Genomic DNA, 15,276 nt, shown 5'->3' on the forward strand with positions numbered 1-15,276 from the left:
CCTGCCTCAGCCCCCTGAGTAGCTGAGATTACAGGCACGTGCCACCACGCCCAGCTAATTTTTGTATTTTTAGTAGAGGTGGGGTTTCACCATGTTGGCCAGGATGGTCTCAGTCTCTTGACCTTGTGATCCACCCGCCTTGGCCTCCCAAAGTGCTGGGATTAGAGGAGTGAGCCACCGCGCTCGGGAGCTAGCTTTCTTTTTTTTTTTCTTTTCTTTCCTTTTCTTTTCTTTTCTCTTCTCTTCTTTTTCTTTTCCTTTCTTTCTTTCTTTCTTCTTTTTTTCTTTCCTTTCTTTCTTTCTTTCCTTCCTTTCTTTCTTTCTCTTTCTTTCTCTCTCTCTTTCTTTCTTTTTAACATTTGGAGGTCAAGCCAAAGGAGGACTGAGAATTGATCATTAGATTTCGCAGCATGGAGGTAATTGGGAACCTTGCCAGGAGAAAGTTTGGTGATGTAGGTGGAGGAAAGCCTGAATGGACTACGTTCAATAGAGAACGTGAAGAGAGGAACAGGAGATACTGAAACTTTGTAAAGGCTCTTGCTGAAAGGAGATGTACAGAACTGGAACACTAGCTGAGGGAAGGGAGGCTGCGGTAAAGGAAAGTTTTGCTTTGTTTTGTTTTTGAAGGTAGGTGTATGTTTCTACGGAAATCTTTAAGAAAGGAAAATTTATGATGTCTGAGAAAGGGAACAATCTCAGGAAGGTCATTTTATCTGTAAAAAGCCATAATTCCACCTCAATAGGACAGCTGAGCCAATGAAGAAAGACAGTCATCAGGTTTGGAAGGTGGTTTGCATATCCATGGAAGCTCTATACCCCTGGGAAACAGTGAGGCAAACAAGGTCGGCCCCTGTGCGGGATTTATGACTCCTGCCACAGCCCTTGCGCAAAGGTCTGCAAAACATGGTCCGTCTTTTAAGTTCTTCACAGAGCTACAAAAGAGGTGCTCTCTGCCTTGGTGAGGGATGGGGCCAAGTCCCTACCCTGGACGGTAGCTGGAAGATGCTTTCTTACAGTGAAGAAGGTGGGAAGGGAAGAGGCTGGATCTCGAGGGAGGGGGAAACGCCCAAAGCGTGAAGGACACACCGTTTGGGACACTTCATCCATCAGCCCACATCCGACAGGGGTTGAGGTCCCGGTGGCATTTCACACCACGTTCTCTCCGTAAATGAATTCCCCCTTATCAATAGGGAGTAGTTGGCAGAACAAAGAATGTGTGCGCGTGGAGGCTAGAGGTGGGTGGGTGGGTGGGTGGGTGCCTTAGCACAACTCCAGCGGAGAGTGAGTGCGGATAGGAAATGTGTGTATGGCATGAATGGAAAGAGCCGAGAGTGAGTGTGGAGATGGGCAGGGAAGAGCTGGACGCGCCCCAACAGCCAGGGGCCTCCCGAGGGAACGTCCGCCAGTGATGCGGGAGCGCCCGCGGAGGAGCCTCCTTCTCCCCACCCACCTCCCGAACTCCGGCAGTCAGTGGTGCATATAGACATATTTCTGGGAGCTGTCCATGAGCTCATGGCTCTCCTGGCGATAGCGGCAGCGGCTAGGGAAGCAGCCTCCTTTCTCCCGGCGCCGCCGCTAGAATAAGCCCGGCAGCTCGCACTTTCAGAGCACACGCGCCGGGCGCGGCGCTGGGAAGGGGCAGCTGCTTGCCCAGCCCCGCGGCCAAGGTCGCGTCCGACCCCGGCCCGCCGCGGCCCCGAGTCCGCCGGCCGGGATGTAGGTGGCGCGGGAGGGACTTCGGCTGGGCGAGCAGAGGGCACAGCCGCCCCTTCCACTCTGCGGCGCAGGAGCCGGGGCGGGTCCGCGGGGCGCGGCGGCTGCGGAGACTCCGGGCGGGCGCGGGCCGCAGGCCCGACGCGGAGGAGACCGAGGAGACGCGGGAGACCCGGGCGTGACAGGAGGAAGAAACCCGGAGCCGCAGGAAGATGGCTTCTCCCACCTCCCCGGCCCCGGAAGGCGGGGCCTCCACCCCGCCGAACCCGCCGCGGATTCGTCAGGTGGGTGCACAAAGTGCGGGAGGGGCGCCGGCACCCCATTGTCCTCGCGTCCCCCAAGGGCGGGGACCTCAACCCCAATGCGGCGGCTCCCCTAGGAGCGGGGCCGACACGAGCCAACTTGGCTACATCGCCCGGCCCAGGACCATTCTCTAAACCTCTTTTCTCAGTCTCACTTCACACACAGACACACATACAGACACACACGCAGATAGCCCTAGAAAAATACACGTCTTCCAAAACCAGACGTGTAACTTCTGAACGCACGCACACTCACACACACGCACCCCGCAAACTCATCCCTCCCACCCCGCACAGAGGCACACACCCAGCTGTCACATGACCCACTGCAGAGCTATACCGTTAGAAGAAACCAGGGTGCCCCTGGGGGAAAGGTACCCCAGACCCAAACTCCCCGAGGACCTTGAGAAGGATTGCTGGAAGCATTTACTTCCACCCATAGGAGAGCAGGAACCTCATCTAGAGGTTACTCACCATTTCTCAACTTTCGGGCAAAGCTTCACCCAACAACTGCAGCCCTGTATCCTGCATTAGCCATGTAGTACAGAAAACATGTGTTCCTGTTCTCTCCACGTCTATAGAGACACAAACAGCTTCCCCCAGCACTGCAAGGAGGAATGCACGTTTCTTTGACTGTTTGAATAAGCCCTGTTTTCTGTTTGTATGGTAATATTAAAACAAGGGAGTACTCCATCTGGTTGTGATCTGTGATTTGGTATCTAGATTTTTTCCCCCCGGCTACCATTGCCAGGAACTATAGCACCAGCACCTTAGGTTATCACAGTAGTAGCGATTGTGCACTTGCTGTGTTCATGGTAGTGTATGAGTGTGAGAATATGATCCATTGACTGCAAATAGGAAACCTCTTTACCGAAGAGAATTGGATTCCTATTTAGAAAGAGGGCTAAAATTGGTTGATGAATACTATCTGTGCAGGAAAATAATGCCCAACAGAATGGTCTTTCTCCCTGGTAGTGTGGAAATTTTGAAAAATAAAGGAGACTCCAGGATTTATGAAAACGTGACAGTAAAATTGATTGATGCCTAACAAGGTCTTTGCCACGTTTGAATTTTAATATGTGTAAGTAGTGTTATATTAGGGACAACCTTTGTTTATGGGCATTTTTTAATGCAATGACTAAAAAGTAGTGTGTACAGTTTTTGTGGCAATCTGCGTCCCAGAGAAATTGTTAGGGTTTTAAATCCTTGTAGAATCTAGGACTCTAATTTTATGACAATGCATTTTTAATTGCACTTGGAGCTATTCTTTTTTTTATTATTTTCTGGAAGAATTGTGATAGCAGATATCATTAAATCTGTATTTGTGATAGTTATGCATTCAAGAATGAAGGTGAAATTATTGTTATTTGCAATTATAAATCATATTTTAAGCAAAAAATTATTTTTATATTTGGCTAAATATATATGTATGCACACATACATAAACATTGAGGAAGTAAAATTTGTTAATTTATTAATAAACAGAATATGTGCACTCAGACATTTCTATGAAATCTTATTCTGTAAAGCACTTTTATTGATCTAGCAAAAATACGTATAAAAATAGTTATACAAAAAATGTGCGTGGAAGGTCATTGTTATTTTGCAGACTAGACACCCTATTTAGAAAAGCTCATAATTAAAAGCTGTGTAAAATGACATAGTGCTGCAACATTCAAGTTATTGACTGGTGTCCTCTGTTCAGGCTTTCATTTATATGACCTTACAGTAGCACTGTTTTAGTGATTGGTGCATTAATTTGCATAGGATGTAGAAATAGGTTGCTGGAATTATTGGTCCTTCCAGTCTACCTGATTCATCCAGTCAGGTGGAACAGAAGTACTGACAACCTCTGGCTGCAGAATCACCATTTGCCTGAAAGTGATTTTGAGCAAATTAGAAATAGAAAAACGGAAGGGAAAACCGTGTTGTTCTACTAAGTGGTGAAATGTTTTAGGCCCCATTCACATTGTATTTTAACTGTGTCACTGTTTCCTGGACATATTTTTCCATGTTCATTAGTAATTCTTTTTCAAATCAATTCTGGATTGAATTGGAATTAAATTAAAATTGGAATTGTTTTACTCTTTCTGAACCATGTAAAAATTCAGAAAAAGTGTAATTGAGAAAAGCACAGAAGTCCAAAGGAGTAAAGATTTTAATGTGGATTTTTGACAAATCTATTGGTCATACTATTAATTATATAATGGAAATTTAGAAATTAAAATATTTTAGGAAAGCTTTTGGTGAATATAAACATAGCTGGCAAATTAGTATATTTAACTACTAATTTCAATGAAACTATGCTGTGTGGGGATTCATTTATTCAACAGACATTTACTCAGCATAAAGTAATGTTTCATGTTCTAAAGATAATGAAATGAAGAGGACAAAAACCCTACCCATTAGCAGGTGTAGGTATTTGAAGCATCAAACTATTTAAAATTTGAATTACTTATAGGGTCCTTTCCATGTTATTTAGACAAAATAGTTATTTATCAACTTTTTGTTTTGATCACTCCTCTAATAATGAGCCTAAATAATACCTAATTTGTATGTACCTAAAATGTCACTGTAGGATTGAATTCGTTTGCATTTATTTGCTATATTTCTGTTCTCATTAATTATTTCATATATTATTAGAATTACATATCACAAGCTATATATGTTATTTTTTACAACTTCATATTTTGAACAAAGATTTTTTTAAAGCTTTTGGAAAATGCTGATGTAGCATGAAATATCTAAAGTGGTCCAGTACCTTCACACAGTGTACTTAAAATCTAGATTTCCAAAAATGAGAAGGACAAGGAAAAATGACCTTTAAGTTCATTCTGCTAAGGGAGAGATAACTTTATCAATGCGCCATCTTTTCAGGCTTGTTAGGCATTAGGTATTTCCCTTTTTTTCTTCTTCTTGTAAGAAAAGGGGTATCTTTTCTGTGTTTTATATACAGGATAAATAAGTTAACAGAAGTTTCACCTACTTTTTCCAACTCGTAAGTCAAATTAGTTATGAAAATAGATTTCGTGGACATCAGCCCATGTTTATTCTTCATTCATTTTCTAACTTTGTAAAAGAAAAGATGAAGAAATGGTTGTTTTGCAATAGTTTGTCTGTATATGTCATATACATTAAAGGACCCATATGACTCTTATGGCCATTTCCAGAGAATTTAAATCAAAGTTAAATGCGTACTTACTGAGATTATGACATATAAGATATATTGAAGGCCGGGCACAGTGGCTCATGCCTGTAATCCCAGCACTTTTGGAGGCCGAGGTGGGAGTATCGCCTGAGATCCGGAGTTCGAGACCAGCCTGGCCAACATGGTGAAACCTGGCCTCTACTAAAAATACAAAAATTAGCTGGGTGTGGTGGCAGGCACCTGTAATCCCAGATACTCAGGAGGTTGAGACAGAAGAATTGCTTGAACCCAGGAGGCGGAGGTTGCGGTGAGCTGAGATTGAGCCACTGCAGTCCAGCCTGGGTGACAGAGCAAAACAGTCTCAAAAAAGAAAAAAAGAAAAGATATGGTGATAGCATCTATCTGGACCTTACCATCTTTTTGACAAACTCTGATGGGTGTTATCATGGCATTGATTGCTGTGAGACTTGGAAGAGCTTTAAGACCGTCTGTCATTGGTGCCAGAAAACTTCAGTGTCATTCTCTTGTTTCTTCATCAATCCTTCCCCATGGTCTCTGGGTATTGGTGTCATATCATTTATGGCACCAAACTAGTGTTCCTTCATTCTTTGCTGTGGAAACATTGAGACCTCCCATGTGGTAATACTGAAATATTTACAGTGAGCCAAGCATGGTGCTGAGCGAGGCATAGTTTTCACAACAATCCTGTGAAGGAGATATTATTCCCATTTTCTAGACAAGAAAACGTGGGTTTAGAGAAACTGAGCTACATACTCAAGTTCATAGTTAGGAAATTGGAAGTTAGGGATTTAAAATGTGGTCTTAATGATGCCTTACTTTGCAATCACTGTTACTTACTATCTTCTTCTAATTTTCAGGGCTTGTGACTATTAAAGAACTCCTCTGTTACTCCTAGCTATCTATAATTATTCTCATGGAGTTCTGCTTTGAGTTACTCGGATTTAACTATAGTATTTACGGTAGAGTTGAAGTAATTTTCATTACTCAAATCCATCAGGAGAATAGCTTGGGCCAGGCCAGGTGGCTCACGCCTGTAATCTCAGCACTTTGAGAGACTGAAGCGAGCGGATTGCCCGAGGTCAGGAGTTCAAGACCGGCCTGGCCAACATGGTGAAACCTCATCTCTACTATGAATACAAAAAAATTAGCTGGGCTTGGTGGCGGGCGCCTGCAATCCCAGCTACCCGGGAGGCTGAGGCAGGAGAATAGCTTGGACTCAGGAGGTGGAGGTTGCAGTGAGCCGAGATTGCACCACTGCACTCCAGCCTGGATGACAGAGCAAGACTCCATCTCAAAAAAAAAAAAAATGCTTGAATTCCATTTTCACTTCTGTGTTCTCTAAAAGAACATTTTTCCAGCATCATGGTTGCTGAGAGGAGTGACTAAAGCTTTCAGTTACCTTTTGCCTCCACTGGGAGCTCCTCAATTATTTGTGCTGGTCCTGAGAAAAATATTTCTGAGAATGAATGGGTTAATGGAGAATCTTTTTGAACAGGTTTTATATATATATATATATATATGTATATATGATTACATTTATATTTATTTATTTATTTTTTATTATAAATAGAGGTGATATTTTACTATGTTGTCCAGGCTGGTCTCAAACTCCTCAGCTCAAGTGATCCTTCTGCCTCAGCCTCCCAAAGTGCTAGGATTACAGGTGTGAGCCACTGCGCCTGGCCAGGCTTACATTTTTAAAGGATTTTTCATTCTTTCTTTTTTTTTCTCTTAAGAGTTGGGGTCACCAGGCACAGTGGCTCACGCCTGTAATCCTAGCACACTGTCTCAAAAAAAAAAAAAAGTCAGGGTCTCTCTGTACTGCCCAGGCTATGGGCAGTGCAGTGGGGTGCAGTGGTTATTCACAGGTGCAGTCGTTCTGCATTATAGCCTCAAAGGCCTGGGCTCAGGAATTTGCGACCAGCCTGGGCAACATGGCAAAACCCTATCTTTACAAAAAATACAAAAATTAGCTGGGTATGGTCGTGGGTGCCTGTACTCCCAGCTACTTGGGAAGCTGAGGTGGGATGATTGCTTGAGCCGGGGAGTTCAAGATTGCAGTGAGCTGTGATCATGCCACTGCACTCCAGCCTGCATGACAGTGAGACCCTGTCCAAGAAAAACACAACAGGCCGGGCATGGAGGCTCAAGCCTGTAATCCCAGCACTTTGGGAGGCCAAGGTGTGTGGATCACCTGATGTCAGGAGTTCGAGACCAGCATGACTAACATGGTGAAACCCTGTCTCTACTAAAAATACAAAAAAAATTAGCCGGGTGTAGTGGAGGGCACCTGTAATCCCAGCTACTTGGGAGGCTGAGGCAGGAGAATTGCTTGAACCCAGGAGACGGAGGTTGCAGTGAGCCGAGATCATGCCATTGCACTCCAACCTGGGCAACAGAGTGAGACTCTGTCTCAAAAAAATAAAATAAAATAAAAATAAAAATAAAAAATAAAATTAAAAAAAGAAAAAGAAAAAAGAAAAGCACAACAAACAAATGCCTGGGTTCAAGCAATCCTCTTGCCTTAGCTACTCGGGTAGCTAGGACTACAAGCAAGCCTGTGCCACTGCACCTAGCAGTTTCTTCTATTATTAATTGCATTCTTTGTATATTTTTGTCAAGATGTTACATACATACACACACACACACACATATATATATATATATTTATTTTTATTTATTTATTTATTTATTTTGAGACAGAGTCTCACTTCGTCCTCTAGGCTGGAGTGCAGTGGTGCAGTCTCGGCTCACTGAAACCTCTGCCTCTCGGGTTCAAGCTATTCTGCCTCAGACTCCCGAGTAGCTGGGACTACAGGCATGTGCCACCATGCCTGACTAATTTTTGTATTTTTAGTAGAGATGGAGTTTCACTATGTTGGCCAGACTGGTCTCGAACTTCTAACCTCAGGTGATCCACCCACCTTGGACTCCCAAAGTGCTGGGATTACAGGTGTGAGCTACCGCACCCAGCCAAGATGTCATATATATATATATATATATTTTTTTTTTTTTTTTTTTGAGATGGAGTTTCGCTCTGTCGCCCAGGCTGGAGTGCAGTGGCGTGATCTCGGTTCACTGCAAGCTCCGCCTCCCGGGTTCACGCCATTCCCCTGCCTCAGCCTCCCAAGTGGCTAGGACTACAGGCGCCTGCCACCATGCCCAGCTAATTTTTTGTATATTTAGTAGAGATGGGGTTTCACCGTGTTAGCCAGGATGGTCTCGATCTTCTGACCTCATGATCCGCCCACCTTGGCCTCCCAAAGTGCTGGGATTACAGGCATGAGCCACTGCGCCCGGCCAAGATGTTATATTTTTAATTTTTATTTTATAAAAAGTATTTGAGTTACAGCACAGGAAAATTTATTTTAGACAGTGAAGGGATGACAGTCACAGGCAATAAATAAATATAGTTATGTATTGACATTATTAATTTAGGTTTTTAAATTTTGTTTTTTAATAGACATATAGTAAAATTCACTTTTTATATAGTTTAATGAGTACTGACAAATACTTAAGAGTCGTGTAACCATCACCACAATCTAGGTAGAGAATAGTTCTATCTCCCTGAAAATTTCCCTCATGCTAATCCTACTGTAGTCAAACAAAGGCTTCTCCTACCTTCAATTCCTGATAGCCACTGATCTGTTCTCTGTCCATATAGTTTTGCCTTTCCAAGAATGTCAGATAAATGAAATTACCTAGAATAAAACCATTTAAAATTGATTTTTTTCAATCAGCATAGTGCCTGTAAACAGGTCCCTCTAAGTGTCTTGCATGTGTAAACATTTTGTTCCTTTTTATTGCTGAGTAGTATTCCATCGTATGGGTGCACCACTGCCCGGCCATTCACCAGATGAAGAACATTTGGGTTGTTTCCAGGTTGGGGCAGTGATGAATGAAGTTGCTATATAAAACACTTTGGAAGGCCGAGGTGGGCAGATCACCGGAGGTCGGGCATTCGAGAGCAGCCTGACCAACATGGAGAAACCCTGTCTCTACTAAAAATACAAAATTAGCTGGGCGTGGTGGCGCATGCCTGTAATCCTAGCTACTCGGGAAGCAGAGGCAGGAGAATCGCTTGAACCCTGGAGGCGGAGGTTGCGGTGAGCTGAGATCGCGCCATTGCACTTTAGCCTGGGCAATAAGAGTGAAACACCGTCTCAAAAACAAAAAAAATTGGTATGGATTTTTTGTGTGAAGCATGTTTTTATTTCTCTTGGGTGTGCACCTAGGAATATAAATTTTGGATTATATAGTAAGTATATGTTTAACTTAATAAGAAACTGGCCCGAGGCGGGCGGATCACGAGGTCAGGAGATCGAGACCATCCTGGCTAACACAGTGAAACCCCGTCTCTACTAAAAATGCAAAAAAAAATTAGCCGGGCGTGGTGGCAGGCGCCTGTAGTCCCAGCTACTCGGGAGGCTGAGGCATGGGAATGGCGTGAACCCGGGAGGCGGAGCTTGCAGTGAGCCAAGATCTCGCCACTGCACTCCAGCCTGGGCGACAGAGCGAGACTCCGTCTCAAAAAAAAAAACAAAAAAAAAAACTGTCAAACTATTTTCCAATGTGACTGTGTTGCTGCTTTTACATTCCTTCCAACAATGAATTAGAGTTCTTATTGCTCTGCGTCCTTGTCAACATTTGATGTTGGCATTTTGTTGTTTTAGTCATTCTAATAAGGGTGTAGAGACACTTCTTTGTGGATTTAATTTGTATTTCCCTAATGACTAATGATGTTGAATACTTTTTATGTACTTATTTGACATCCTTTAGTTTTCTTTACTTTTTTTGAGATGGAGTCTTGCTCTGTTGCCCAGGCTGGAGGGCAGTGGTGGGATCTTGGCCCACTGCCATCTCCACCTCCTGGGCTCAAGCAATCCTTCTGCCTCAGCCTCCCAAGTAGCTGGGACCAGAGGCACACGCCACCATGCCTGGCTAATTTTTGTATTTTTAGTAGAGATGGGGTTTTGTCATGTTGGCCAGGCTGATCTTGAACTCCTGGCCTTGAGCAATCTACCCACCTTGGTCTCCCAAAGTGCTGGGATTACAGGCGTGAGCCACCGCACCCAGCCTTAAAACATTATTTATACAATTTCCCATTTAAACATCATATGAAGCTACAAGACAAGCACTCATTTCTAGAAGGAAGGCTGTTTATGAAAGTGAACTGCATACAATAAAACTATATCAAAAAATCAAATGAAAAAAGACAAAGTAATATGTCACATCTCATACCCTACTTGATGAATACAGAGAGTTCCCAGAGGCTTTAAAAAAACAATTTCTAAATCGGCTACATTGAATATGAGCAATAAAATGAGAAATAAATAGGGACTTTAAGCTTCATTCACTACAAGGTTTGGAGACGTTTAGCATTTTATGTTTTTATAAAGGGGTATTATATGGGTAGATTATGGTATATTAAGGAGCTAATTATCTGTTTCTAGTGACACGTATAGCCTTGAGTTCACTAGCCTGTAAACCTAGCTTTTATCACAAGGATATATAAATAGTTTCAATTATCAATTGCTACATAACAAACCCCATCAAACATAGTGGCTTCAAACAACAATAATCATGTGTTTTGCTCATTAATCTGCAATTGGGTAGGGGTTGGTAAGGATATGAGGAATCAGCTGGGGTGACTAGAAGGCTGGAGGTGACTCCATGACTGGAGCAATAATCATCTAAGATTTGCTCAGTCACACGTCTGGTGACCAATACTACCTGAGGGTGTCAGCTAGAACACCTATATAAGTCCTCTCTGTGTGGATCTTGGCTTCCTTGCAGCGCGGTGATTGGGTTCCAACAGTAAAAGTCCCAAGAAATTGCGGCAGAAGTAAAAGGCATCCTTAAGACCTAGCCTTAGAAATCACAGGTTTCTTTTGTCATACTCTTGGTGAGGCAGTCTCATGGGTTCACCTAGATTCAGTGGTAGGGGACGTACATCCCACTATTCCATGGGAGGGATGGATATTAACATCATATTATAAAAATAGCATGTGGGAGGGATATTGGCCACCTTTGAAAATATGATCTACCACAGAGTGAGAACTAGGTTAACACAAATAAGCTGGTATCAAACAGGACTTAGCACGTTATTTTTGTCATCGGATCAGGAGGTAACACAGATGTGATAAGAACTAGTTACAAACATTTCACAGGAAATATTTCCTCACTTAAATCTTCATAAATCACTACATGCAAATGCTGTAGTTCTGCTGTTTACCTTCCTTTTGATTGTTCAGTCGCCTTGTACTCGGGCTCTGTGCTTTGAGTTTGGAGAGTGTTACACAGTACCACCCTCAGACACAAGCTCTAAGCTCTAGAACTTCTCACTCTGGGCTCCTTCCAACCACACTTTTTCCTACTGAATGAGGAAGGCATGGGACCAGGGGACTTGCTCACATAGGGCCTGCACTTTTTCTTTGCAGCTATGGAGGTGGAGGTTTTAGTGAGCCGAGATTGCGCCACTGCACTACAGCCTGGGCAACAAAGCGAGACTCCCATCTCAAAATTAATAAATGAATAAATAAACAATAAAATGTACAAAATACATTTTGCTTGATACCTGGCAGTTGGTTTATACTAAATGATTTTAACTATTGTTGTTATATGATAAATGCACAATAAATGTCAGCCTCTTCCCTTCCCCAAGGACAGCACTACAAGGAAGGACAGCCATTTGCCTGAGGATTAGACACGGAAGTCAGAAATGAGGTTTGCACAGCCCCCCTAGTTCCTATCTGAGTAACTCTGAGTAAATTATATAATCTGGCTAAACTTTAGTTTTATAATGTATTAAATGGCAGTAACCATAATTCCATCTCACAGGTCCATTATTATTATTTTTTTCTTTTTTATATATAGAGACAGGGTCTTGCTATGTTGACCAGGCTGGTCTCGAACTTCTATTCTCAAGCAGTCCCTCCAACCTTGGCCTCCCAAAGTGCTGGGATTACAGGTGTAAACCACCACACTGGGCCTCATTGGTCCATCATTAATCTCTAATGGTATAATGTTAGTGTAAGTGCTTTCAAAATAATAAAATACTATAGGTGTATATGCTATTGTGAAAAAATATGTAATTTTGATTTCAATTGTTTATATCGTAAGCCTTCTGGTTAACTAAATGTCCCTTATTCTAATAGTCTTTTTGGTAGAGATGGGGGCCTCCTATATTGCCCAGGCCGGAGTGCAGCGATGATTCATAGGCATGATCATAGTGCACCACAGCCTTGAACTCCTGGGCTCAAGTGATCCTCCTGCCTCAGCCTTCTGAGTAAATGGTACTATAGGCTTACAGCACTGCACCTGGCCTCTAATAATCTGTAAACATGATTTTATTGTACTTTTTTTTAATTGAAGAAGTTATACAAGAATGTGGTAATAACATCACATATTTATAGATGGATATGTGGGAAAAGTAAACCTTACTCCAAAACAAAACACTGCAACCCCCCTTTCCCCGTTTTGTTTACATAAATGGGAGCCTACTATCCACATTGCTTTACATCATGCCTTTTTAATAATAATTAAAGGAAGACCTGGGTGATTGTCAAGTGCTACATCTGGAATTTATTTTTCCTTTTAATGAAATTAAGCAAACATTCTTTTGTTTTACCTGAGCAGGTCTAAAAACAGTTTCATTCTTTTCAATGCTTTATTTCACTAGACTAATATACAAGTTATTTATCGTAACAGTTTTCCTTTATAATGAATGGTATCTTGCCAGGCACTTGGTATTAAAAGCCAGACTCTTGGAAATGTGGTTCTTCAAATCCATTAACCTTTATTCTACTCTTATCATAATAAATGTAGAAGCTGCCTGTCATTTTTCTGCAGTGTATTATCTAATATATATTGGGCTTGTGTGACCTTTTTTTTCTGATTGTCCTAAAAGATGCGCTTATTAAACTATTTTCCTACAAGTTTTATGAATACTGAATTTCTCTTCTGCTATCTGTCTGCACTTTAACTTCATAAGGTTATTTTGCCTTAGTTCATTTTGGAATTGAGCAAATCAAATAAACTCTTTCTGAGACTGCCCAATGTAATGAATGATAGATAATAGTGAACATGAAGGAAAATGATAGATGCATCGTACTGTGATATTCCTTAAATTGTGTGAGCTTGTAGATTTCAGAGTAATAGACATATTTAATACAAATTATAAGGACTAATCACTTCATAATGCCAGTTTATAAGGAAAAATGTTTATTTTATGAATTTATACCACTGAGCTAAACATAATATCTAACAAGCCAATATGCTTTAGTGCTATTACCTATCCAAGATAGTTACCAAGTACTTGTATAGCTTTGCTGGAAGTGCTTAGACAGTTTCTTAGACAACAATGAATATTTACTTTAAAAAAAAAATATTTATAAATATAAAAAGCTAAAATGTACAAAAGTACCAGGGCTATTGACTAAATTAGACTTCTAATTGGATAAGAGACCTTGTATGCCAACTTAGAAAATCTTATCTCTCTTTCTGATAAAAACTTGGATGATTATATAGCTGACTTAGTTCTTTCATCTGACAGTACAAAATGTTTTATGCATGAATGCCTCTTTTATAGACACCTTCTTCAGTTATAAAAGAGAACCAGGAACACACATCCACTTCTAAACATTTGCATTCTCACATATTCTTGCCTTCTTCCTTCCTGTTTCAGCAGAAGAATTATCCTGACCTTGATCACATTCTCTCCTGCCTATTCTAGGACTTTCCTCTGTTTAGAAGGTGTTGTTGTTTTCCGCAATTCTTTTGTCTTCACTAGTTATAGAGAATGGGGCAAGGCTGAGCCTGACAGTGAGGTTAAAGAAACCCAGTTGATGGGGAGACAAGGATGCTTTAGTTAAGTATTTAGTAAGTGGATAGCCCTCATCCTATTAGACTTCTTAATTGTTTTTGTTTTTCGGACAGTCTTGCTCTGTTGCCCAAGCTGGAGTGCAGTGATGTGATCTTGGCTCACTGCAACCTCTGCCTCCCAGGTTCAAGCAAATTTCCTGCCTCAGCCTCCTGAGTAGCTGGGATTACAGGCACCCACCACCACGTTAACTAATGTTTTTATTTTTCATAGAGACATGGTTTCACCATGTTGGCCAGGCTGGTCTTGAACTCCTGACCTCAGGTAATCTGCCTGCCTCAGCCTTCCAAAGTGCTGGCATTATAGGCGTGAGCCACTGGGCCTGGCCTACTTCTTAGCAGTTTTTATTTATTTTTTATTTTTATTTTTGAGACGGAGTTTCACTCTTGTTGCCCAGGCTGGAATGCAATGGTGCAATCTCAGCTCACTGCAACCTCTGCCTCCCAGGTTCAAGTGATTCATCTGCCTCAGCTTCCCAAGTGGCTGGGATTACAGGCATGTGCCACCACACCTGGCTAGTTTTGTCTTTTTAGTAGAGACGGGGTTTCTCCATGTTGGTCAGGCTGGTCTTGAACTCCTGACCTCAGGTGATCTGCCCACCTCGGCCTCCCAAAGTACTGGGATTACAGGCATGAGCCACCGCACCCGGTCGCATGAGCCACCGCTCCCGGTCAGCAGTTTTTATTCTGTTGACCATTTCTTCCTTCCTGAAGCTCTTCTCATTAGGACTATAGATTACCATTCATATATTCAACATCTGAAATAAAGATGCTTATACTAACTGAGCTCTGTGTGTGTCAGCTCTGTGACAAATTCTTTACATGTATTATTTCATCCTCCCATCCATTTGATGAGATAGGACAATAATCACTCTAATTTAAAGAAACCAGGCTTAGTAGTTTGCTGAAGATCATGCAGTCAAGGAAATGGTAGAGAAAGGGGTTCATGTCCACATGTGTTAGTTATCAAAGCTTGTGTCCTTAAACAGTGCATGTAATACCACCTCCTCATGCCAGGTATCATGTTGGGGCCTGGAAGTAAGGAGGTGAAAACACCTCAGATACAGAGGGGAAAACACTTAGTACTCAGGGAACTATGATACAGTGGAAAAACCAACTAAGCAGATAGAATGTGATGATTTCAATAAAGAAGGTATAATTCGGCCGGGCACGGTGGCTCAATCCTGTAATCCCAGCACTTTGGGAGGCCGA

General features: G+C 42.1%; 1 protein-coding gene across 4 annotated transcripts in view, besides 4 other annotated features; it reads left to right on the top strand.

Moving 5' to 3' along the window:
- Positions 383-1,082: an enhancer, noted in NCBI's record as "H3K27ac hESC enhancer chr4:113625759-113626458 (GRCh37/hg19 assembly coordinates)". NCBI's record gives its function as "activates a minimal SCP1, AML or CMV promoter by ChIP-STARR-seq in naive H9 embryonic stem cells {active_cell/tissue: H9 hESC(naive)}" and the evidence as "EXISTENCE:reporter gene assay evidence [ECO:0000049][PMID:30033119]".
- Positions 1,313-1,607: a silencer, noted in NCBI's record as "tiled region #87; HepG2 Repressive non-DNase unmatched - State 4:PromP, and K562 Repressive non-DNase unmatched - State 4:PromP". NCBI's record gives its function as "represses a minimal TATA promoter and a strong SV40 promoter by Sharpr-MPRA in HepG2 and K562 cells {active_cell/tissue: HepG2 | K562}" and the evidence as "EXISTENCE:reporter gene assay evidence [ECO:0000049][PMID:27701403]".
- ANK2 (ankyrin 2) overlaps positions 1,402-15,276 on the top strand; it is a 678,115-nt gene continuing 664,240 nt past the window's right edge. For all 4 annotated transcript variants that reach the window (NM_001386186.2, NM_001386148.2, NM_001354269.3 and 1 more), the window contains exon 1: positions 1,402-1,997. In NM_001386186.2, the coding sequence (NP_001373115.1) occupies positions 1,926-1,997 (72 nt within the window). In that variant the 5' untranslated portion in view covers positions 1,402-1,925. The remainder of the gene's footprint in view (positions 1,998-15,276) is intronic.
- Positions 7,213-7,713: an enhancer, noted in NCBI's record as "H3K4me1 hESC enhancer chr4:113632589-113633089 (GRCh37/hg19 assembly coordinates)". NCBI's record gives its function as "activates a minimal SCP1, AML or CMV promoter by ChIP-STARR-seq in primed H9 embryonic stem cells {active_cell/tissue: H9 hESC(primed)}" and the evidence as "EXISTENCE:reporter gene assay evidence [ECO:0000049][PMID:30033119]".
- Positions 14,439-14,938: an enhancer, noted in NCBI's record as "H3K27ac hESC enhancer chr4:113639815-113640314 (GRCh37/hg19 assembly coordinates)". NCBI's record gives its function as "activates a minimal SCP1, AML or CMV promoter by ChIP-STARR-seq in naive H9 embryonic stem cells {active_cell/tissue: H9 hESC(naive)}" and the evidence as "EXISTENCE:reporter gene assay evidence [ECO:0000049][PMID:30033119]".

The sequence above is a fragment of the Homo sapiens genome, chromosome 4 (assembly GCF_000001405.40).
Source record: "Homo sapiens chromosome 4, GRCh38.p14 Primary Assembly".
Lineage (NCBI taxonomy): Eukaryota > Metazoa > Chordata > Mammalia > Primates > Hominidae > Homo > Homo sapiens.